The 27,439-nt window shown below is 39.6% G+C and overlaps 1 protein-coding gene across 2 annotated transcripts in view; it reads right to left on the bottom strand.

Annotated features, from left to right (window-relative positions):
- The window catches only part of SLC35F1 (solute carrier family 35 member F1), a 410,408-nt gene that overhangs the window by 375,522 nt on the left and 7,447 nt on the right, over positions 1 to 27,439 (bottom strand). The window lies entirely within an intron of this gene.

Genomic DNA, 27,439 nt, shown 5'->3' with positions numbered 1-27,439 from the left:
TTCTGCTGGGTAAGTACCAATGTCTGTAAAAAGATGTGATACTGCAAAGTGTTGTTGAGAGTATTAAATGATAATTTTGATAAAATACATGTCATTGACCTTTCTGACACTTTACTCTCCTCCATGACAATGATGCTTAAGATCTTGAGAAAAAGGTCTTCCTGGCACACAGATGTATTCAAATATAAGGTTACTATTAACCTAATGATGATACAATGAAGAAGAATATCTGCTTAGATAACTCCAGGGTGATCAACAACAACTACTGAGTCATGCTAATTTTATCCAGGTTTTCCATATGTGGATGGGGAATCCCACATCGGGGATTGGGGGAGCAGGACTGTTTTCTTTCGGAAAAGCTTCAAGTAAACAAGAAACACTATTAAATATAAATGGTGTTTAAATATAGGCTCAAATTTTTAGTGATACTTGAACAATTCACCCCATGGAATGAATTTGTTTCTTAACTGAAAACTAATCTATTGCAATATTAGTAACCAAATCAATAATCTCCAAAGGCAAATATAATATTGTATAAAAGAAAAGAATGAAATCCACTGGCTTAAAGGTAAGTAGGCATGTCACAACTAGGTAAGATGTCCCTGACACCTCTATGATTCCTGGTTTACTTGAAGGGTCATTGTTGTAGTATTTGCTATTGGTTTTGCTATTGTTACTGAATGGCTTTGGCTTCATAGTTTCATCAAAGATGTGACCCCTATTCAGTAAGCCTGTCTATCTTGATCATAGAACTGAATAGTAAAGATAGAGCTTTACCATGAATGTACACAATGTGGAAGGACTCATTTCCTTCTAAAAACTTTTAAATACCAGAAACTCTTTCCAATATGTTTTCTCATCTAACCCAAAAAAACTAAAAATAATTGATTCTAAATACAGGTTTTTCTCAAGAGGTACAAGAGCTTTCATTTTGCTTTAAGAAACACTTTCTTTAATATGGAATCTATAAATCAGAAAAATATGTTTAAATTCTTAAACCCAAATGTAAACAGCATAGCCAACATGGGGACACCAAGTCTTAAAATAACGAAGAAGGAGATAAACCATGACCAGGGATCAAATTTGACATGCAGCCTTCAGGTAACAGTGAGCATCATATAAATATAAATGCAAGTTGCCATTTTGTATTTTGAAGAGAAGTTTTCAGATGTGTGAAATAATCTAAAAAACCACATCTTTGGGCCAGGCATGGTAGCTCATACCTGTAATCCTAACATTTTGAGAGGCCCAGGTGGGTGGATCACTTGAGTCCAGGAGTTTGAGGCTAGCCTTGGCAACATGGCAAAACTCCATCTCTACAAAAAATACTAAAATTATATGGGTGTGGCGGCATGTGCTTGTAGTCCCAGCTACTCGTGTGGCTGAGGTGGGAGGTTCACCTGAGCCTGGGAGGTGGAGGCTGCAGGGAGCTGTGATTATGCCACTGTACTACAGCCTGGGTGACAGAGTAAGACCCTGTCACACACACACACACAAAAAAAAAGAAAGGAGAAAAAAAAGCACATCTTCTCCATTCATTTATCTGTTGCGGAACACAGGTTGATTCCATGTCTTGGTTATTGTGAATAATCTTGTAATGAACATGGGGGTACAGATATCTCTTTGAGATACTGATTTATTTTTCTTTGGATATACAACCAGATGTGGGATTGCTGGATCACATGGTAGTTCTATTTTTATACGTCAGTTATGCTTCAATAATGCTGAATAAATAGATAAATAAATGAATAAATAAGCAAGAACAAATGCAGCACGTACAGACAGTCCTAGTATAGATTAAATGTCCCAGATGACCCTCAGTAATGAAAGAAAACTCCATCCTCCATCAGCACTTCAACAAAAAGTACCTATGGCTATCCCCCAACAGTGAATAGAAGACTCGTGCTTGTTTTGTTGTTTTTGATCCCTCTAGGTATTAAACAAACAGATATATAATGAATCAAAAGCAATCAGCACAGAAAGAGCTATTGACCCTTATGTATTTCTCTCCCTCTAAGATACTCATTTTGAAATGAAAAATGGTTTTCTTGCATAGTGCCTCCATGTACTTGGTTATATTGCCATGGCTAATTGACAGCAGGGTCTCTCTAATCAGCAAGGTAAAGGCTGCCTTAAAAGAGCACCCACTGTGTGCTCCTAGACTGGCATGAAGACAACTGAAGTCATGCACATTCATTTGCCCATTCTACCTTCCATGCTGTGCTGGGCCACAGGGCTATAGGACCTGAGGAAAAGTGTGTGAGGACCCTCCACCGCTCTGACCCCACCAGGCAACAAGGATGCAATGACCTGTCCCCACTCCACTTGCTTGGTCCTACCTCTCTGGGCTAATTTAAAAGGAGAACTCTCCTAATTTAACAAAAGAAAGTAAGTGAAAAAAAAAGCATAACCTTTCACTTCTTTAAAAAACCATCTCCTCCCTATTTTTCTCTTCCATCAACTCCACAGTAAGATGTCCTTGTTATATTTCCGGGTTTATTCCCTTTAGGTCCTTTTTAACTGGTACTTTTCAGGAAACTATTAGGACAAAAGTATTACTTGGATTCCAACTGACTCTGAAATTTTTTAGTAACCTTCAGTGTCAGAAAATTTCAAAGATGTATTGAGGGTTACAGAAGATCAAGATCCAGAATGGCCACAGAATCTTAGCATACCTTAACTTGCTGTTTAAACATAAAAGTATCAGAGGAAGGGCAAGAACCCGAGGAAAATAAATAAATGCAAAACTCACATGCAGTCCCTGGCTGGGGTGAAGTCAGACTCAGATCTGTCTGGGAAATAGAGCTAAGCGCTGCTTTTTCTCAAAATGACACATTTGCATCTACTGATATTCATTAGGGTTGAAAGGCCTTGGTGGGGTAGTGGAAACATTTGAATCATGTCTCTGCTCAGAATTCAAGTATAGCTTGGGTAAGACAGTGAGACCCTGTCTCTACAAAATAATACCAACAAATTTTAAAAATTAGCCAGTTGTGGTGATGCGTGCCTGTAGTCACAGCTACTTGGGAGGAAGAAGCAGGAAGATCATTTGAGCTCAAGATTTTGAGCCATGATCACGCCACTGCATGCCAGCCTGGGTGACATAGCAGGAGGCTGTCTCCGGAAAAAAAAAAAAAAAAAGAACAAGAATTCAAGCACATACAGGCATATCTGGTAGAACTTCGGAAGTAAAAGGAATGGACACTGGATTCAGGGAGGACAGAGGGGACTGCCTGTAAAACAAAATTATTTTTAGGAGCAGAAGTTGTCTAACACAGCAAGCCAGGGGCCTGAGGGCGGGGGAGGGGGATAGCATTCAGTAAGCTGGCACTTAAATCTATTCAGACAAAGCTACCTTGTGATGTGCGTATATCCCAGGCAGGCAAAGAACTAAGTATGACCTGGCAAAGCCATCCCACTCAACTCTGCCATAGTTTGGACCCAAGAACCCTTGTTCTGGGCCCTTCACCACTGAGAATTACCAAAAAGGAAGAAAACATCTTCCTTCCCACTTCCCAAGAGATGGCCAAGCTGTCAGGAGCAGGCTGAAGCTTCTCAGGAGCCTTAGTGACTCAGCAGGAATCCGCCCCTCCTGCTGGCAAAATGCCAATCAGGGGGGCAGGTGGGCTGGGGGCAGTGAGCCCTGCAGAGAATGCATGAGGAGGCAGCACAGGGGGTTCCTGACTGGCTTGTGAGGTGTGTGAGGCAACTCCTGAAAGTTTGCCAGAAGAGATAAGCTTCTGTTGGAACAAATCAAGGTTTCGAATAGTGAGTTTAGTTATTAATGTCAATATGATCCAGTATGGCAGTATTAACCAAAATCATAAGAGTGACTTTTTTTTGGTCCTATGAAACTTATCCAGTTTAATTTTAGTGATATTTACTTATATGTTACATTTCTCAGATGACTTAGACTGACAGATCAGTAACTAGCACTTAGCAGAGATAAAAACACTTGGGATTTCAACAAATCATCTCCTCTATATTACCCCAGAGCCCCCCAAAATAGTAAAGAGACAGAGAAGTCAAGAAACACGTAAGTTTATTTTTTAGACCTGTTGCCTAAGGCCTGATTTCAGCAGGCTTGTATTTAGTTTTGATGTCATTTTATGCCATAGATGATTGAACTAGTCTCTAAATATGGTGCCATGACCCACAGAGAGAAATTATGCCCTGAAGTATGGTGTGTGGTGGCATAAGGGGAAGGAGGTACACATTGGAAGAGAGTATGACCTAACTCTTCTCTTCTAATCAGATCATCAGGCACTGGAGGGTGAAGACAAGTAGAGGGTGTAACATGGATGTGATGTTTGGCCTGAAATTCGCAGGGAATTATCCTAAATTTGAGTTCATTCTGAGTTCGAACAGCTCAAAATGGAGAATTTAGACATTGGGACCTTGTGTTTTTGCCCAGTGTACTCATAATCTCTAAGGATAAAAGCAGCAGTATTTTTCCAACATAAATCCAATCATTATAATTCTTCTACGTTTTGTTTTTACATCATAGATGTTGAGACACTGGGAGAATTTTTTAGCTCTTCTGAGCTAAAGGCCTGCTGGGTACAGTATTTCTTGATTTATTATCTGTTTATTCAAATAAAAAACCCTGGGGAGAAAAGAACTCTTTTCCTTAAATAAGTGTTTGATTGCTATGCCTTAATTTGGGCAGGAGTTTTTTAGTGGTTGATAATGACAGTAAATTTAGCATTAATTTGTTTTGAAAGATGAACTTTTAAATAGTTATTCATTCTAACATGAAGAAGAACCCAATAATAGAAGGCTGTAGCATATGCTTCAATGTTTACCACGCAGTCCCTGCAATGTGCATCTAACTCCTCGTAGTGCGCTGCCTTCCTTCCTGATTCTTATGTGTATGAGTACACAAGCAGAAAGCTAATAATCAGCATTATGGAATGAATGCCAATCTTCCATAAGAGTGTGGCAGACTGAAGAAATTTGGAGTCGAAGAGTTATTAGATCAGACCCCAACTCTACTACTTATTTGGAACCCACAGGTAAATTAAAGTCAGTGAAAATGTTTCCTCATCCTCAAAATGAGAATGACAATCACTTCCTTATGGGACCTCTGTGAGAATTTAGTGAGATAATGAACCATAAAGTGTCTGGCATCCATTGTTATGATGCAAACATGTTAGAGTGCAGAAGGTGCTCACATAAAAGGTAACTAATATAAAGCATTTTTCAATGATTATGAAATCATTGAAGCAGATAAAATCATACAGTAAGTAAAACAGTAACAATAATAAATTGGAACTACTTGTTTATTCTTATAGATGCCTACATAAGCCATCAATAAAGGATTCCATGCAAATCCTGCCTTGATATCCAGATTTGAGACATCTTTGTGTGAACATTTTTAAAATACAAAGTTTTTTTTTAAAAGAACTGTAATTTTTTCTAATTAAAATAGTAGGGAATTAGATCCAAATGTCAGACTAAGCCTTTATGCCTATCTACTCCCACCTCAATTTCCTAAAAATACCAAAAATCTGTTTTTAAAAAGAATAAATTCACAACAGTGCTAGATAACAAGAATGGGTGGAATTGATGAACAGAAATTTTATGGATTTCGAGACTGACAAGAATTCAGTCTTTGATGAGGAAAACCACAATCCAGATAACATGGAGGAGAACTCAATTGCAAAGATGAGAGCAACTCTGAGACACTCAAAATTCAGGGATGACAGACAAGGCAGCAGGAAGAAGTCCTAGGGAAGTGGGCCAGTAATTGGCTGGGGAACAGTTTAGCACATCCCACCCTCACACCTTCTATAATCCTACCACCAACTACCCAAACCCCCAACAGCAATAGCAGAAGCATCCACCCCTGGACCTACACAGCATGTGAGGACAGTAGACTTTGGAGGGACTTGGACTGTCAGTGTTCACAAGAAACAGAAAGTCCCTATATGCAGAAGAGGAGCATTTAAACACCACACTTGGCAGCACATCCCAACTCTCACCCTCCAACAAAGGCAGATCCTAGTAAGCAGAAATGTTATTTACAGGTGAGTAAGCAAGGAATCTCAAATACAGCAATGAGCACATACAGGAATCATCAAATAGTTCAAGAAAACCAGCCCCATAAGAGAGGGCACCAAATTCAATCAAGAGAACCACAAACATCTTTTTGTTCAAACATACTTGAACAAAGAGAAGGTGACTTTCAAAGAAGTATGGTTGATCCTCATTGTTTGCGGACTCCATAACTGTGAAGTTGCTTACTTGCTAAAACTTATTTATAACCCCATTTCAATACTCTTGCCACTTTCATGATCATTCACAGACATACATCTAGAGTGGCAAAAAATTTGAGTCACACAACATGCACATTCCTAGCTGAGGTCAAATAAAGCAACACTCTGCTTTCTTGTTTTAGCTCTCGTACTATAAGCAAGTGTCTTTTTGCGGTCATTTTAGTGCTATGTTTCACATTTTTGTGCATTTTGTTGGTGATTTCACTGTTTAAATGCTCACCCTCCCCTCCACCAAGCATAGTGCTGAAGTAGTAGTCTTGGTTCCTAGGTGCCAAAAGGTTGTGATGTTCTTTAAGGAGAAAATACATATATTAGATAAGCTTCCTTCAGGCAGGAGTTATAGTGCTGATGACTGTGGCTCAATGTTTATGAATCAACAATATATATTAAATAAGCTGTCTTCAACAGAAACACACATTTTAAAAAGGTTTGTATTAATCAGTTGATGAAAATGTTATCATCAGTAGCTCACAAGAGCCTAACCCTGTATTTCCCCTAGGAGTAATGATTCTATATTCATGAATTCAGTATTTGCTTACTTACTAATTTGCAGCAACTTTATAGAGCATAACTTCAGTGAATAATAAAAATCAACTGTATAATTAATATCATGTGGATTTAAAAAGCCATTGAATCCAAGACTAGGCTGTATGAGAGTAGAAATCTGTCCAATGGAAAAGATAGATAGGTTTTCTTGGTGTAGAATTTGTGCATAAGTTATTTCAGATGGTTAAGTGAGTAGTTTATTTATTTATTTATTTATTGAGATGGAGTTTTGCTCTTGTTGCCCAAGCTGGAGTGCAATGGTGTGATCTTAGCTAACTGCAACCTCTGCCTCCCAGGTTCAAACGATTCTCCTGCCTCAGCATTCAGAGGAGCTGGGATTAAAGGCATTCACCACGATGTCCAGCTAATTTTGTATTTTTAGTAGAGATGGGGTTTCACCATGCTGGCCAGGCTGGGTCTCGAACTCCTGACCTCAGATGATCCACCTGCCTCGGCCTCCCAAAGTTCTGGGATGACAGGCGAGAGCTGCCATGCCCGGCCAAGTGAGTAGTTTTCACACCAGAGGGCTCTAACAGGTTATACACTGAACTCTGTATCTTACCGTTGAGTAAAACATTAAAAATGTTCATATCTTGACATTTGTTTTGTACAATATCAGAAAAGAGTTTATTTATATGAAACCATTAAATATAATGGTTTGTCTAATTCATATGTTTGATATTTATATCTTAACCAAATATAATCCTAAAATAATAATTTATGAATTTCATAACTGAGAATTGAATTCTAGCCAAAGCAACTTTGTTTTTATTGAGACCAGAATTCATTTTACAAGTTCCTTTTAAAATACGTTGTGCAAAGTGAGGTAAACCTATATATGAATTATTGAGGCTATTTTGCGACTATTAAGTATATCTAAAAATATATCCTTAATAATTATCATTCTCTTATCATAATGTATCTCCCCAATACTGTCCCAGAGTATCTTTTTAATATGAGTCCCTGCATTTGTCCTAGCTAAAAACACCTTCCATTAGCCTGTTTCCTATTAACCTGTTTCCATTAGCTTTTCTGTAAGAAATCCTTTCAATCAAGAATGGCTCACATCAGCCACGCTGAACTGCACCATACTTCTGAGGACCACAGACTGTCTTTAAAAGAATTGAAAGCTATGGGTTTGATTTACAAGGAGCGGTTAAAAAGTTGAATCCTATCCTAGATGCCCAACAGCAACTGCTCAGTATAGTTTAAATTTCGGAGATCACCCTTCAGCGGCTCATTCCCTTTGCAGCTCTTTTTCTGTAGTTCATGAATTTCCCTCCACAATGCCTTACTCTGTCGGAGCAAACCCATGATCAACAGCCAACTTTCCAAATGATTTCCACTTTTGTTATTTCCATTGAATGGAAATCAGTGGTCCACTGATTCCACTTTAATTTGAAACAAAACATAGGTCGGGACAAGCAGAAGCACATCCACCAAAGCAGTGAGCACTGAGCTCTACGTTCTCACGCAGGGTCCTAGAAAGTGCACTAGCAGTTTAGAACCTGAATGAAGAATATTCATAAAGTCATGGAGCCCACCACACCCAAGCGTATTTTTCACTTTGTTATCACAAGAGCCCTCTCTGTCTGCTACAATGGCTGCCTGACTGCTGCTCAGCCTCTGGCACTCACCAGTGGGAAGAGAGAGAGCTGGGCAATCAGAGCACAAAAGCAGCTTTCTCTATCCTGCTTTCCATGAAGCTGAAAGAGAGGAAAACATCCTTTTTTTTTCTAAAATTTCTCATAAACCAAGGTGCCCAGAGGGCAGTTCTAACCAGTGTTCTGAATAATTTACGTGGATTTATATTCTCCACTATTCTTTTTGGGAGGTGATTAATTACTATGGCAACCACTACATCACAAGAAATCTATGTTTACTCAGAAATATTGTGAGTGTGGTATACCCTCTTTATAAAAATGCTTAAAAGAAAATGGGAGTCCCTTAAGTGTGTTGTTTTAAAGACAATTTGCTACTCTAAAACAATACAGTTTGAAGAGCTTCGTAGAGTTTACTTTTGTCAGGAGGCAGCAAACAGTAGGGAGGGGAGTTTAAATATAGAATATGGTACGTACTGATAAATTATTTAAGACATAAATATATAAGGTTTATAACTCAAGACAATGTATGCATGTCCAAGAGACACTACCAGAGTGAAAAGTGTAAGAAAGGAATCAATTCAGTAGTAATAAATGCTTGTATCCTCATCTGTAACATACTTCAATATACATCATATTTATTTCATGAGCATCAGAAGTCTTTGTGCAGATTTATGCTTCTAGTTATGAAGCATAAAAAGCAGAAGTCAAACAAGTTGTGAGCTTATCCTTACAGTTTTAGTAAAATCAACGTAAGAAACTTGTTTTGTTATCACTAGTTTTCTGAGCAGCAACTTCCGAGAAGTCTATCAGGGAGATCTGGGATGGTGCAGGACAGGAGATAAGCCTTGGGAAAACTGCTGGCTCACGGGCCCTGGAATCCCACTCAAATATGTGTGCATGTCTCTTGGGTCAGAGGAGCTTCCTAAAGATTGCATTTGCCAGTCACCTCCAAAGGAAAATGGGAATCAACTCCAAGTTACTCCAAGTTCTGGAAGTCCCACATGGTGTTTTCATTTCCTGAAAACTTCATATCATCCTTGAAAAGATGTAGTTCAGACAATGCTAATTACACTACAGAGTACATTTCTAGAAATGAAGGATTTGAATGTCTTGGTCATCCAGAAGAAAAGCCTCTATGCTTGAGATTTGGTTTATCTAACATTTTTCATCTTGGATTTGGGTACAGAAAGTTAATTTATCTGAGAAGAGATGACAGAAGCTTTAAAAGGTGTTCTTTTTTGCCATCTATGTCGTTATAGTATGATGGTTAAGAGAATAGACACTAAAGCCAAACTGTCTGAATTCAACTCTCAGCTCTACTACTTGATCTGTTACCTTAAACTTCATGTGCCTTAGTTTCTTATACCTTGAAATATAGATAATGGTCAAAAAAATTGAAATGTATTTCTTAGTCTGTTCCTGCTGCTATAACAAAATACCATATTCTGAGTATTTATAAATAGTAGAAATGTATTTCTCACAGTTCTGGAAGCTGGGAAATCCACATTCCAGGTGCCAGCAGATTTCGTGTCTAGTGAGCGCTGCTCTCTGCTTCCAAGATGGTGCATTTTGCTGCGTCCTCACACAGTGGGAGGGCAAAAAAGATGAACACTGTGTCCTCATGTGGCAGAAGATATGGAAGGACCAAGCAGCTCTCTGAAACCTCTTTTATAAAGGCATCAATGCCATTGATGAGGGCAGACCTCTCATGGCCTAATCACCTTGCAAAGACCCCACTCTTAATCATCACCTTGGGATTTAAGTTCCAACATAAATTTTGGAGGGATACAAACATTCAAACCACAGCAATGTATTAGGCAACTATAGCAAAAAACAATAAAGGCATTTTCTCACCTTGATCTGGAGGTAACTCTTTATCCATAGATTTTCAAAAACCACTAGCAATAATTAAGCAGCAACTGGCTGCAGTAGTTCCTTCAGGAGTCTGCACTGTATGCAGCAAGTCTAAAGACCTCTCTGCAAGCACTTCTAGTACTCCCCACATCTCCAGAAATCCAGAGTGGATTCCAGAGAAGCCTTGACACACTCCACCCTACCTTCACCTACTCACACAATTAAGTAGATCTACCTGCAGTTAAAAACAAAACAAAACAAAACAAAAAAACCCTGTGAGTGATTTGAATGTAGTTGGAATGTAAAGATTATCAAATGTTGTGCCAGGAAGTGACTGAACTATAAGAGAATTAACATGACAAGGTTAAATTCACTAGTCAAACATGAGCTTAGAGAGAAATGGGCCACATTCACAGTGAAAATAATTCAGTCAACTTGAAGAAAAAAATGTCTTTGGGGATTATCAAGATGACCAGCTGCAGGTTTATCATGCCTGAGATCAGGATCCTTACAGAACAACCTGTATACTAGTATTGTTTGTATCTGTTTTTGTAACCACTTTATTGACATATACATTATTCTTTTAATAAAATAAAAAGGAGCAAGTAGTTTTTTAAAAGATATTTCTTTATTTTTGCAATGCAAGCACGAAGAGACCTAAGTTCTTATATATGATAGAGGCACAATTATAAGCATAACAAAACCATTCAAATAGGGTGTGGTAACCTCCTAGCACCAAAAACAATGAACAACACCAATAATTATAACACGTAATGTCTACTGAAAACTAACCACGGGCCAGGTGCTTACAATATATTCTCAAAACATCTCTGTGGGGTAGATGTTACTATCTCCATTTGACAGATAAGGGTATAGAGGCTAAAAGGGTAAAAGGTAAAGGACTCAAGTTCAGATGGCCTGACCCAGAACCAATGCCTTTAATCCTGTTCTGTGCCTGTTCCTTCCGGAAATTACACTGGAGAACTCTTTAGTGCTGCATACAATGGGTTATTTTACTCCACAATGACTCAGATTCATTAACTTGCTCAAAAGCACTTACTAAGTGCCCACTGCAACAGAAATCTGCACCAGGAACTGCAGTGAGTTACTAAGAGAAATAAGTTTGGGCCCTGCCTGCCCGCCAATAGCCATAGTCAAGAAGGAAGATAAGACTGGAATACAAACAGTCATATTTCGAGGCAGTCTGTGATCAGCAGTTAGGAAGGATGAAGTGATACGAGCATTAGGTCACACTATTACCTCCCTAAGACTGCTTTTGCTGTTTAGGCACCTACTGGGAAGCTAATTTAGCATTAAGGCTTAGAAAAGAGGCCTATCTAGGTCCTGTACTTTGAATCAGAGAAAAAAAAATTAAGTACATATTTAAATTCTAGATAGTTTAGGGCTTTCCTTTCAAGCCCTAAAAACAGGGCTCCCACAAAATGAATTCAGCTATAATGCTGTGGAAGAGGAAAGCCCATTTCTACTCCACTTGTTGAGTCAAAAGATATGAGTCCTGCCTTCCTCTGCAGAATAAATAAAAGGGAGCCTGTCTGCAGAATAATGCTAAGAGGAAACAGAGCCAAGAGATGGAGCAAAATGTAGAGTCCAGACAACATCCTTTTAGCCCCTGGATCCACGTAACTTGGACTTCCTGAGGACATAAGACAATAAATTGCCATGTTTGCTTATCCTAGCTTAAGTCAACTTTCTGTCAAAGGGACAAAACAAAATGGTACCAACTAATATCTGCTCTATAGAAAGCTATGTAAGAGCATGGGCTCGGATCCAAATAGGTTCAAGCCCTAACAATGCCACTTGGTATCTATGTGACTTTGGGCAATTTAGCAGATGTCTCTGGCTCAGTATCTTCATCTTTAAATTGGAGATGGTTTGAAAGGATTAAGCAGGAAAATAAACGTAAAAACTTAGCAAAGTGGCTGATACATAGTAATTCCAGGACATCTGAGAGTAACCTCACTATTACCATTAATTGTCATTATCACTGTGATGATTCGTTTTATGTGTCAGCTTGGCTAAGCTATGGTTCCCAGCTGTTCAGTCAAATATTAGTTTAGATGTTTGCTATGAAGGTATTTTATAGATGTCATTAGCTTTTACAATCAGTTAGCTTTAAGTAAAGCAGATAACCCTTGATAATATGGGTGGGTCTCATCCAATCAGTTGAAGGTCTTAAGAGCAAAAACTGAAGTTTTCCAGAGAAGAAGAAATTCAGCCTCAAGACTGTAACATAGAAACCCAGACTGAGTTTCTAGCCTGCTGGCTTGCCCTACAAATTTGAGACTTGCCATCCCCTACAGTTACAAAAACCAATTCCTTAAAGTAAATCAATCTCTCTCTCTGTCTCTCTCTCTCTATACACACACACACACACACACACACACACACACACATAAATACATACACATATATACAAATGTGAATATATTATACTTACATATAAATATAGTAGATAGATAGATAGATAGATCCTATTGACACAATTATTACCAAATGCCAGGGATTTGGTCTAAGTCCTGCTGCTCACCACACAAAAAGCCAGTCACTGAGACAATGAGTATTGCCAGGGAAGAAGGCTTTACTCTGGTGCTGCAGCTGAGGAGATGGGAGATTAGCCTCAAATCCATCTCCTCGACAAACTAAAATTAGGGGTTTATATAGCAGGGAAGAAATATAACCATGTGTGGGAAAACAGGAATTAGAGAGGGGTAAGAAAGAAGAGTTGGTCAAAAGGAAGCTGATGGTCAGAAAGGCAATCATGATGGGTGAGGGTTCTTGCATCTCATTGTCCGGATGTGGTGATCTCGTAAGTTTCAGTTCCTTCATACTATCTGGAAGGCCTGATGATTGGTTTCCTGAAAAAGGAACTCAGATAAGGCAAATGTGGTTTCTCAAGTTTTTAAGACTAGGAGGGTCAATTTCTATGTTTATTCAATAGAAACTATAAATATCAATTCTATGGGACAACTGGGCCAGTTTCACAATCACCGTAACTACCTAGCTGTTCTCCAACCCCTTTGTAGTACTGGTGAGACATGAGCCATAACTGCAGACCATGTACAGCTCATTGAAGCAAGCTGTTAGCATACTTGATTGACTTGTGCAACTGCTCTCCAAAAAGCAAAAAATGTCCACACTGTCTTCATCAAAGACCTACGTCTGGAATCTCACAGTGCACTGTATGAACATAGAGCAAACTAGTATCTATGGCTTATATGTGTTATCAACTTCTGGCATACATCTAATTAATGATTAGAAATTTATCATGGAAAATAACTATTCTGGAGGCCTGGTTCTCATCTCAGAATTATGTATCAAACTATTTTCCTAAGGATCCATTTTTTTTCAAGGCATTAAGTTACGTTGTTTTCACCAATTGATTTGGAGGGGATTTGTTTGTTTTTAAGCAATGCATAAAGAAAACTAATTGGCCCTTCCCTAAGTAAATAGGTATTGATGTGTAAAATTATAAGCCAAGGCTCTGGATACAGAAATTGATTCAGACTGCGGAAGCTAAAAGCAACACATTATCTCTAGTGATGCAGAGATTTCCTCCACGTTCAGCATGAAGCAGTGTCTACCCGCCATCTCTTTCCTCCATCCAGACTCTGTGAATGGCAGTTCTATATTCGCTCTCATTTATTTCCCATTTTCTTTGGGGCCAGGTTCTGAGCTAAGCACTTCATTTTTTTTCTTGATTATACTTTCCCACAATTCCCTTTTCTACTCAGAAAACACTCACAAAGCAGCATGTTTCTGGAATGGGAGCAATGAAAGTTACATATTTTGGATGAAATGGGAGTAGAAGGAAACCCTGCCAAATGCCTTTTAAAAGCTGCAACACCTGCTGACTAAAATTAGCTGCTTACACAGTTCAAGGAAAGAATCTGTTCTTTTCTTTCAAACTCTGGCTCGAGAAATCTATCTCCATGAATCAGTTCATCAGCTATTGATTAGCTTCTCTGATTAGCTCCTCTAATGGCTGCAATAGAAAGTACAAGGCTGCTTTGTAGGCAACAAATGGAGGGAACCCAACACAGCATGTGTCTATGCCCTGGCAGAAATTTTAATCCCAGAACTCAAAACTTGGTGGAAGCACATCCATCCCATCACCTTTCATTCATTCATTCAACAAATATTTGTTGACTACAATATCTACCATATGGCAGGCACTGTTCTAAGCGATTAGAAAAACAAACAGAAGTCCCTGCCCTAAAAGATGTACACCTACTTTCATCAGCTTCCAGGTGTGTCTCTGCAGAATGTTCTCACTGCAAAAGCACAGGTCTTTTGAAGCCCCTGCTCCCAGCATCTCCCAGGGATAAGACTCCTTCTCTCCCTGCCCTGTGAGGTCAACACGCCTTCCCTCCTCTTCCTCTTAGCCAAAAATAAGCACACCTTCTGCTTTGCAGTTTTGTCTTGATTTTTACTTCTGCTTCTTTCAGGATCAAAGATTATTAGAAATGTGATGCCTACATAATAACTACAAGTCCCACTCCCAAAGAATAAAAGGATAGCATCATAGTTACACTTTGTGATTTTCATGTGAATCTCAACTCTCAGACCATGAAGGAGCTCAGAAAGACTCTCTTCTTCTGCCTTCATTCTTGTGCTTCTTCCTTACACATGCATTATGCTAAATATTAATCATTATAATGACTAATATGTTTCAGGCATGGTGCCAAGAACTATAAATATATTACCATCTTTAATCCTCTTCAGTATCCCTATGAGGTAGGTACTCTTACTGAATTTCACAGATGATGGAACTAAAGCTCAGTGAGTTTAGATAACTTGTCTGAGGTCACGAGGTTGGTACACCAAATGAAATCAAACATTGACCAGCATCAAACTCAATTCACATTTCTCTTATGCAGTAATTACCAATCAAAACCCGTGGTTTCAAAAAGGGTAGTTAGAATGTAACTTTAGAGTACATCATAACTCTCCATTTCTCCTCTGCAACTGTCTCCTACCTGGGCTCCCCTACTCAAATTCACTGTTTATACTGCAGGCAGCCAGATCTTATGAACACATCAGTCATGTTACTTTTCTGCTTAGTGTCTCCAATGCTACTTAGTGCTCTTAAGACAAAATACACAACTTAACTCCAAAGCCCTGCATGATCTGGCCCCTACCTACTCCTCCAGCCTCTGACATCTCTTCCTCTCATATATGGCTGCAGCCATCTGAACCTGTTTCATTTCCCAGAATTCATCACATACTCACCCACTCACAGGCTTCTAATGTATTGTTTCCTCTGCCTAAAACTCTATTCTCTATAACCCCCACTGCCACCACATATGTGCACATGCACATGTACACACAAACACAAACACACACACACACTCCTCTTTTAATTCTGGCTATGTCCTCCTCTTTTTCTAGTTGTCAGCATAGCTGTGTGTATCAGTCCATCCTCATGCTGCTACGAAAAAAACTCAAGACTGGGTAATTTATAAAGAAAAGAGGCTTAATTGACAAACAGTTCCCATGGCTGAGGAGGTCTCAGGAAACTTATAATTACGGTAGAAAGCACCTCTTCACAGGGCAGCAGGAGAGAGAATGAGTGCAAGCAGGGGAAATGCTAGATGCTTATAAAACCATCATATCTCATGAGACTCACTCATTACCAAGAGAACAGCATGGCGGAAACCACCCTCATGATTCAATTACCTCCAGCTGGTCCCACCCTTGACAAGTGGGGATTATAGGGATTACAATTCAAGGTGAGATTTGGGTGGGGACACAGAGCCAAACCATATCACTGTCATATGCTTAGATGCCTTCCCCAACTCCTTTTATTGAGTGCTCCCATGGTTTTCTATTATACTGTGTGAGATCTTTCATATACCCAATGCCAGCCCCAGCCTGGGCAAAGCAGGCTCAGAATAAATGTTTATCAAATAAATAAATGGATGATGACATGGAGTGGGGGCCTTTCACCCAGTACTTCAAGCTCCTCAATATATTTGTCTAATCCAGACCTGATTTGGATTATCAAAGGTGCCACAGACTGGTATGGATATACAGACCAGTATGGATGACACCTACCATAGAGCCCATTCTTTCTACCCTCAGCAGAACTACATCTTGGGCAAACCACCCTGCACATCACACACTCGAGCAAACCTGCCCCTGCTCTTCCTTGACAGATGTGTCCAGACTGAAAGAAATGAAAAGGCCCTGAACTGTATTCAAAGGTCATCAGTCTCAGGCCAGAGTAAAAGAGGTGTATATTAGTTAGAGATGCTTTCAGCTGCAAGTCAAACAAACCCCAACTAAACCTGGCTTAAAGAGAATATTAATTATCCCACATAATGACAATCCAGTGATAGGGCAAGCTTCAAGCATGTAGCAATGCAATCAGTTGCTAAATAATATCTCCAAGGACCCAGCTAGTTTCCTTCTGTCCACTCTGCTGTCCTTAGCATTAGTAACATCCTACTGCTGGTTTCCTTCATGGTCATAAAGTGGCTACTGTTAGCAGCTGGTAGCAAGATGGCTTTGTCAAATTCAGCAAGAGAAAGGGACAGCTCCTCCCCCATCTAAATGCAAGTCCTTTATCTTCAATCTGGTTGTACCAACCCAGGACCTTTGCCCACCCCAAGACCAACAACAATCTCCATGCCCTGGACTCCAGAGAAATGCCATAAACTAATTGGCTTAGATTAACTATCTGAGGTAAAATGGATTTACTAGATGAGAAAACCAATGCAAGACTTTGGGGAACAAAATCTCAAATGTCAATGATAGAAGGGAGATAACACACTTATTTCCATGTAACACAATTACGTTTTTCTCTTTCTCAGGTGGCTTCTGAAGATGTCACATGTAAATACTCTATATTCCTTTTGAATGTGTAGTTGAATTTCTTCTTGCTGATGCTAGCTTCTCTTCAAGCTAATCATCTTCTTCTGCAGACATGCTTATGTTGAGTCAGCATTTAACATTTAGAGGCTTATTGCTTACAGCAGCTATAGAAACTGCTTCACTCAACCCTGCACAGAGGCAATACAAATGATATCAAAAATGTAAGCCAAATGACTTCATTATTCTTCTTTATGTAGGCAGATCCTTGATACTATTATAAAGCAAGTTTCTATCACATCACACTGGATAAAACACCCTGCTTTAGTGAAGCAACATATACTCGAGAGAGGAAAAGAAAGCTTGTCACAGTAAACAACCTTCTGGCATTGCCCTCCTCCTCAAGGTGTTACATTTGTGTTTTCTGGAGCAGGAATTTAAAAGCCAACTAGGTTAACAGAAACTTTAAATATATATAAATACACATATATATGGAACAGAATGGAACTTGACATATATATATGTATATACGTATATACATATGTATATACGTATATACATATGTATATATGTACACACATATAGGTATGTGTATATATGTGTTATGCGTATGTGTATATATACATATGCATGTGTACCTATGTGTGTATATACATATGCATGTGTACCTATGTGTGTATATACATATGCATGTGTACCTATGTGTGTATATACATATGCATGTGTACCTATGTGTGTATATACATATGCATGTGTACCTATGTGTGTATATACATATGCATGTGTACCTATGTGTGTATATACATATGCATGTGTACCTATGTGTGTATATACATATGCATGTGTACCTATGTGTGTATATACATATGCATGTGTACCTATGTGTGTATATATACATATGCATGTGTACCTATGTGTGTATATACATATGCATGTGTACCTATGTGTGTATATACATATGCATGTGTACCTATGTGTGTATATACATATGCATGTGTACCTATGTGTGTATAGGTATATACGTACACACATGTATGTGTATATATGTATGTCAATTTCCATTCTATTCCCTATATATGTATATATAAAGTGTCAATCTAGTACATAACACATATGTATATATGTACACACACATATATGTGTATATGTGTATCTACATATGTATATATGTACACACATATATATGTGCATATATGTAATGTGTATATGTATATATACATATGTATGTGTATATGTATATATGTACATATATGTATATATACATATGTATGTGCATATGTATATATGTACATATATGTATATATACATATGTATATATGTATATATGTACATATATGTATATGTACATATGTATATATGTACATATATGTATATATACATATGTACATATGTACATATGTACATATATGTATATATACATATGTATATGTATATATACACATATGTATATATACACACACATATGTATTTGTATATATGTATGTCAATTTCCATTCTATTCCATATATGTGTATATACACATGTATGTGTATATATATATTTTATATATATATACATGTATGTCAATTTCCATTCTATTCCAGTACAGAAAACCTATCAAGTTAAACTGAACCCACTTTTGCAAGGTTATCGCAATATACTGGGGTATCTAATAATTCCTTCTTCGGAGCTTAGCTTTAGCACACAAGACGTTTAATTTCTAAACTCTGCATGGGCTGTCTGCCTGTAGGCCACAAGCACACACGGAATGACTGCTGAAATGGCTGGGCTGTAGTTTTATTCTGAGGTGCCAGCACATTAAGAAGAAAGACTATACATATGCTTTAGAAATAAACTTCATCTGGTTTGTCAGAAGGACTTTGGGCTGTATTGTCATGTATAATCACGGATTTTAAGAGTTTGCAGGGATTTAGAAACCATGTATTTCAGCAAACTTGTCAAAATTTGCATAGCTGTTGCACAGATATATTCTCAAACATTTATTGACCAGTGTGCCTCTGAAAATCTGGTGAAATGATGTTTGATTCCATTGGTGGAGGGTCCTGAACATATTTTAAAGATAGCAAAGATGATCTCTAAGCTCTCCATGCTTATGTGTTCTCCGCTAGCCCAAAATGCTTCCAACTCTCTAGTGATACAATTTGCTCCCCTGTAAAACCCCAACTTCATGGTCATAAAGTGGCTGCTGGTAACACAGGAAGATGCTTAGGGATGCTTTCAGCTGCAAGTTAAACAAATCCCAACTAAACCTGGCTCAAAGAGGATATTAATTATCCCACATAATGAAAGTCCAGTGACAGGGCAAGCTACAAGCATGTAGCACTGCAATCAGACCTGTCCTAATGTCCAATGTCCCATGTTCTAAAGATGCCTTCAAGTAATGCTCCCATCCTTCTCTGTGATTGATTTCAGCTCTTAAAGGGAAAGCAATCAAGTTGATTACTAAAATAATAACTGATTAACTAAATTAAAATATACTTAACGATGTAGCAAAATTGCACTTGTACTCCATGAATACATACAAATAAAAATATATGTATACTTGAGAGCAGGGACCTAACCTTATACTTCTTTGCATCTGCTAATCACATTTAGGACTACGCTGTCCTTAAAGTAACATGCAAATGATATAAATCTAATTTTGTTTAATTTTCCCAGGGTGATGTATATACAGAAGAAATTTAACACAAATTAATATCTAACTGGTAGAACTTGTTCAGGAAAGTATTTATGAATGAGAATAAGAAAATGTTGTTCTCCCTTCCCCATGCTTACTTTGAGCTGGGACTACCTAACTACCATACAACTCTCTTAGCTTTTCTTCCCCAGCCTACCATAAGCACACCACTAACTCATTAAACAAGTGTTATCTCCTCCAACCACTCTTGGTGGTGGAATATACCAGGCTGTGGAAATTTCTTTTAGAAAAAAAGTACTTTGTAGACTCCGGCCTTTACATGCTTGCTCAATAGCAACTAAAAAGGAAGAGAATCCTTGGATCTTAAATCCAATGAATGGCTTTCTAGCTGTGACAATAAAGATGACAATTTGGCTAAGAAATCTTTTTTTGTTGTTGTCTTAATTCACCAAGCCACAGCCTAGCCAACTGCAAGTCCAGTACACCAGTTTATTCTACCTACATTCCCATTTACATTTTTTCATAATCACTATTTTCTTTGACGATTGATATCCAAAATGAACAATCTTATATCCACTGCTATAAATGCATTAAATGGTGTTTTTCTTCCATCATTGTGGAAGGCATGCTCTCAGGTTGGAATTAACTTTGGGGCCAGGGAAGTAATAATTAGGGTCTCTTTGCTTTGGACACAAATGAGTTCATTTATCAGCCTAAGAGTTGCAAATGATCAATTTTCTAAAACTAGTGCTAGCAAGCACCTCATTGCCTATACTTCTTTAGGCTTGAAAGCACCCCGCTTTCACTAAGGAAGGTGAATCCAAAAGGCATGTATCCCACTAGGGGCAGGAAATAGATGGGAAGCAACAAGGAGAAATTTTTTATATAAAATAGAAGAATTTTGCCTGAAAGGCACTAAAATCACACAAACTGTTAGAACAGCTAAAAAAGAGTAAAATTTGAAATCCAAGTCACAGTACTTATTGTCACCTGGAACTGAAGTGTTATAATGAAGCCATATATGGCTCAGGAACATGGGGGGAAACCCCTTACGGGGTGACTGTTCTACAGGTGCATTCACACTTCCAAATATAGCTAGCTCATGGGTAATTCTACATTAAATGCTTCTATTTTTCTTAGGTGGTATCAATTCAGTGTGACTCCAAAATAGAAATGAAGCACTTTAAAAATGAATCATTCTTCTTGAACTAACTCTTGAGCTCTCCTCCCAAAAAACATAGTAAAAAAAGTTGGGGGGCTATCATCAATTAAGTGAAAGACTATCCTCTACCTATCAGTCTAAGTAAGTGTGTGTGTGTGTGTGTGTGTGTGTGTGTGTGTGTGTCAAAGAGAAATAGAGCAAAGCATAAAAAGAGACTCAGGCGGATAGACAAAGACTCATTACAAATAATATCTCATATTCATTATTTGAGAAATAACATATATAACACATTATATATGTTATATTTAAATATTTATATATCCCCCATGAATATTCAGAAAGGAAATATAGGACACAAAAGGTCAAGATATCATGGATCGATCATCTTCAGCTGTCTATTTTATCTGGGAACTTATATTTCCAGAGACAGTTATGACCCAACACTTTATAATGCAATCTAGAGGCAGCATTTAAGGGTGGCTGGAGGAGCTCCCATTACCCAATCTTTCCATTAGCAGATGGATTAGTACGAGTAAACATACTCTTTGTAAATCCTGCACTGTGTTCTTGATATGCAAACACAACTTCAAGACAACCCCCTGACCCAGCTGCCACTCAATGGGTGCTCTAACTCCTCCCATCTAGCATTCTTGGAGCCATCTCTGAATGAAATAACCAGAACATGAATTTCATTCCAGCACTCACTGGGTGGTGGTCATTTTTGTTTGGTTGGTTGTGACGTTTCAGACTTTCTCCGCAAGTAGTTAAAAACTGACTTGCACTAGTTCCAAGGACAGATTATCTCCTGTTGGATGGGCTTGAAGGCCATTCGCCGAGCTGGCAGTTGTGGAGGAAAAACGGTTAATTTCGCAAAGCTACAAAGGTCCGTCCCAGCTCTTACTCCACACACCCCGCGGAACACTCGCCCCCGTCCGGTCCTCTGTAGTCCGAGCGCCCCTCCCCCGCCTCCTGGTTCTCCCTTTTCCAGCCACCACCCAAGCCCCGAGGCTCGCGCACGCCCTCCCCGTCCACCCGCGTTCCGAGGGTCTGCGGGGCTATCTGTGGAGGACAGGGCCCCTCTCTAAGAGCGCAGTGTTTCCCCGGCCTGCAGCAGGATCCAGATAGGTACAGAGACTCCAGCCAGCCCCGGGAACCCGGCGTCACAAAGAGCTCCACTGAGCCCGCTGGCATCTGGGCTTCCCCTCATTAGCACATTAAAGCGGCTCTGTCCCTTCCCTCTGAGCCGCTCTATCCATCCCGCTGCCTGCCTCTGTGGAGCCTTTTAGGCCCACGCTCGTTTTGTAATCTCCCCAGTTCAAGAGGCACTAACCCTTTCCTGAAGCCTGTCAAACTCTCTTTCAGGAACCACAGGTACCGCGGAGCTCCTGGGCTGAGAGGCACAATTAGACAGCAGAACATATGCTAGTGCTGAAATCGCCTTCCCAAGAGGAGGCTTGCTATATACTTTCCATAAATACATATATTTATACTTTTATTAAATACATATGCATTTTTACTTTCTGTTACATATATTTATACTTTATATGCACACATATATATAAACAAACATGAACACATTGAAGTAAACAGCCTAGTGTCCTAGTTCATAGATCGGTGGGTTTCACTTCAGACTCTGACTGACAAGGCTCATGACAAAAACGACAGTCCCCAGAGTAGGGACTATGCATCAAAGTCACTGCGAGCCGAGGAAGCCGGTCAGCATTTATCACAGGCCAGATGACAGCGCAAAGCCACGAAAACCCAGGCTCTCCTTTTAATTTTGGGACCAGGATAACAGTTACATGGTGCTTGGCAGCTTTCCAAGCCCTCTCCCAGATGTTATTGCATGTAAAATTCCCAAACATCCAAGGGGAAATGAAAAACTAGAATTATTTTAACCAGTTTACAAATGAGAGAATTGAAACCCCCAAAAGTTAAGCTGTTTTCCTGAAACAAAACATACGACACAGGCTAAAGGGGACACCATCACTCCAGTGGACCAGACATAAAACCTTGAAGTGATTGCTAAGTCACATCTCATCACCAGGTGTGATGGCTCATGGCTGTAATTCCAACACACTGGGAGTCCAAGGTGGGAACATCACGTGAACCCAGTTCAAGACCAGCCTGGGGAACATTGCAAGACCAACATCTCTACAAAAAAAAATTAAAAATTAGCCCAGCATGGTGGTGCACACCTGTAGTCTTAGCTACTCGGGAGGCTGAGGCAGGAAGATCACTTGAACCCAGGAGTTTCAGGCTGCAGTGAGCTATGATTGCACCACTGCACTCCAGCCTGGATGATGGCGTGAAACTTTGTCTCTTAAAAAAAAAATTATTTTAAAATTATCTTAATTCCCTCTTCTCTCTCTCTCATACCCCACTCCCCAGTACAATCAGGACCCAAGTCCTACTGAGCCCCCTCAAATATGCACTGCCCCACTATCCTCATTTATAAGATGATGGTTCTGGCTTCTTGGGCACAGATCTGAGTTCATCTTTTCCAAGGTCGCAGATTCTAAACAGCGGTAGCTTCTTTCTGCTCATCACGCCCTCTACTGAATCCCCACCACAAATGTCAACTTTACACATAACACTTCTTTAGTATATTTCCTTTCTTACTCTTCGAAATGACTGTTTCCCACTTCTCTTTGTACAAACATCCTACACACCTCCCCCAACAACTAGCATCTTTGTTCACTATTGATATCCTTGCCTCAGAGTTCACAGAGAAAGAGAAGCCACCAGAGAGGAACTGCCTATGATTCCCACCACGAAATCATGAAATCTACCAAATTACCTTCATTTACACCCCCATTCTCAGTGTCTCCTCTGTACTATGGACAGTGTCCTAGTCCTGTCAAAGACTAGTTCCTCCCCACCATGCTTTGAATTCCACCATCTGAGCCTTCTCAAGGTTCCCTCCTTCCTTTATCTCACTCCTTCCTGCAATTTTCCCTCTTCAGTACAGCATTCCCATAAGCACACAGACCTGTTGTATTATCTCTCCCATTAAAAGACTCTCCTTACACTCTATTCCTTGTTAGGACAAAATTTCTCAAAAGTCATATTCTCAACACCTCCACCTCACATTCCCTCCCAAACCATTCCATCCACATTTCCAGCTGCACCACTCCTCTGACCCTGTGGTTGCCACAGCCACAGGGTTCCCTGTGTTGCCAAGCCACTGGTCATTTATCTGTCCTTTCCTCAATTACTCTCAGCACAGTGGACTGCTTATTGCCTCCTTCTGGAAACATCTTCTCTCTTGGCTTCTGGACACCATACTCTCCTGGTTTCCTTCCTACTTCAGATCCTTCCTTCTCCAGTTCCTTTGCTGAGTCCTTCTGTGTTTGAGGGTTAGTGTGCCCCCCAAATTGTTCTTGGTACCCCTCTTTCTCTCTATCTACACATGCATCCAGGACTCATGATCCCCAAATCCAAATTCCAAGCTCTGACTTCTCCCCAGAATTCCACACTCCGACTTCTCCCCAGAATTCCACACTCCAGCTTTCTTTTGACCGTTTCACTACACATCTCTAACTTTACTTGCCAAAGTAAACTCTTTAATTCCTACCATCAAACATGTTCCTCTCCCAGTCTTTCCCACCTTAGAAAATGGCACCATCGCTCACCCAATTGCTCAAGCCCAAAAAACTGGAAATGTTTCTTTATTCCTCTCCCTCATCTGCCCTGTCAAATCACTCAACCAGTCCTGTGTACTCCACCTCCCAGTGCAAACCACTGCAGATCACAACCGCTTGTCTCCACTTCTGTTGCTACAGGCCAGCCAGCTTCCAACATCTCTTTCATCTAGTAGGTATGTACTTCTCCCGCAATCCATTCTCCAACAGCAGCCAGAGTGGTCTTTTCAAAACATTAGCCAGACAACTCCTCTGCTTAAAATCTTCCACTTGTTCCCCAGCCCACTTAGAACTGACAACTGACCCTCTCTGACCTCCTCACTTATGCTCTCCTGTTTCCTGCTCTCCAGCCTCCCTTTCTTTCACATCATTATGAAGACTTGTTTCATCTTAGCATCTCTGCCTGGAATGACTTTCCTCCAGACCCTCCAGTGGCCATTTCCTTTTGGCTATTCTAATCTTAGCTTCAGTGTCATCAGAGAGAGAGAGAGAGGCCTGACCAGCCAAATTGAAGTACCACCTGTTCCCTCTCTGTCACATCACCCCACTTTGATTCTCTGCATATTATTTGCCACTGTTGGATACCTTTTTCATGTTTTTATTGCCTGCCTTTCTTGTAGAATGTAGTCTCCATGAGAGTGGAGGTCTTTTCTGCTTTGTTTCCCGAAGTATCCCTAACAGCTAGATTGTGCCTCTAACCTGACTCAGTAATTCTTTGTTAAATGGCTGAGGGGCTCCTGGTCTGTGCTCCTCAGAGCTTGAGGTGAAGCTGTATCAGTGGTCTGGCCACTCATGTTGGGACCCCAGGTAACCCTGACCCACCTTCCTGTCACCCAAACACAGAATGTGACCTCCTTAATTGCGTGATCTCTGAAAAGTCTTACTCCCCACTTACTGCCCATTCTACAGACCTGGGCTGCTGTCCTGTACTCCTAAATAGTTTCCCTGCCTCACATTCCAGGGCATCCCTTTCAGGCAAGGTGCCCCAGCTGAAGACCAGGCCATTTGGCTGGGGCCTTGATACTTGTAGCTATTGTCAGCCTTACTCTACTGCTTCCACATCATCACCTTATAGGTACAGATTTTCAGGGTCATGACTAGTACCAACCTGATGCCCCCACAATGAGGAACCGCTCCCCCCATCCATGATTAGATGCACTCCCAGAATCCAAATTCACTCTTACTTCCACTTGGATATCTGGCTGGCACCAGTGCTTCTCAAACATTCTGTCATAAAATACCCGTTTTTTAACAATTCATAGAAGACAATACTTTTGTGAAATACAATAAAAATCAATTATGAGAAAAAATGAGATGGAAAAAAACAAAAACCAAAATACAAGACCCGATTCTTAAATATTAGGACAAAAAATATAAAAGTGCTCTCTCAAACTGCTACAGTTATTTCTAAATGCTTACTCCCAATTTCTGTTCTCATCACGGTCTGGCCACACAGTCTGTAGTCCGGCAGGCATCCATAGCCCACGGTCTGAATAGCTAGCTGCTGTCCTCCCAGCAGCCTCTAGCTCACTCAGCACCCTAGGCCCTGGAGAGCAGATCTCTTTCCTGTAGTGGCTTTCAATAACCTTTCAACAAACAAGTATTAAATACCCATTATTTGACAGGCACTGCTGAGTGCCTTCTCAAAAATAATCAAATCTTCTTTTAGCTGACCTGGTCCAGATTCTGTTCAAATCAGAGCACTTCCCTCTCCGTCCTGGCTGCCTCCACCCCACTTAGACTCACATTTCTTCCCCTCTAAATGACTGCAGTAGCCTCCTAACTGATCCCCAAACTCTGGTCTTTTCCTTCTCCTTTTGTCCTATAGATTTTCCCCCAGAGTATCATATTTGGGCACATCTCTGATCATGTCATTTCTCTACTCAGTAACCTAAAATAACTTAATAAGTCTAACTGCTTATTAGAGCATCTAAGACTTTCAGTTATCTGATCCCATCCTACAAATCTAGCCTTAATTCCCTCTTCTTCCCTTTGTATTGACGCATCCTATAATATTGTCAAACTGGACACTTAATTCTTCCCCAATCTCTTACTTCCATGAACGGCTCATCCTGTCTCACCTCCCTCTCCCTGCACATATTCCTTTCCTACCCATCTTTCATTGCCAAGGACAAATGCCATCCCTGATCCCTCCTGACCTTTCTCCAGCCTAGCATGCTCTCTCCCTCCTCTGTGGTTTTACAAAAGCACTTAGCTGTATCACCACATAAATTTGTTTTCTTCTCTAGAAAAGGATAAGAATACTAATCTTTGTTATTAGAAGAAAAACATACAATGTAATGTTTTATACTATAAAGTATATGCCTTATAAGGTAAAATCAGAGAACTTGAGTCATTGTCTAAATGCTAATTTTAACTCAAACATCTCAAACACTCTCGTTAGGTTGTATCAAATTATATATAAAAATCCATATATAAAATATACTCTTGCATATTTTAAATCTCTCCATCTGCAATGCATAAACATGTCCCCAAGTCCCAAAAAGTTGCCTATGCACTGTCAGCACATTAATATTTTCAGAAAACTCTATTTTCTTGAGTTACATGGCAAGGACCTTGATAGGTTCACCCTGAACAGAAGAATGGGATTCAAATCTGTTCTCCTTTTCCTTCTAACATTCTGAAGTTGGATGAACATTAATAGCTGTTCCTCTTTTTTTTTTAATATTTTTTAAGCCCTAAGTGAAACAAACTCAATGGTATTCATCAAAAAAGGTCTGCTTCTTGAATCTATGTAGACGTTGAGTAATTTTATTATGTTTCAGTCTTCTACCTGGGCAGTTTTCCTAAAAGTGAAACAACTAATTTATGGGGATTTTTTGTCAGATCAGCTTGAAAACATCATTTTTGAAACTATAGCA

Source organism: Homo sapiens, chromosome 6 (assembly GCF_000001405.40).
Source record: "Homo sapiens chromosome 6, GRCh38.p14 Primary Assembly".
NCBI lineage: Eukaryota > Metazoa > Chordata > Mammalia > Primates > Hominidae > Homo > Homo sapiens.
This window is presented reverse-complemented; position numbering and strand designations above follow the sequence as displayed.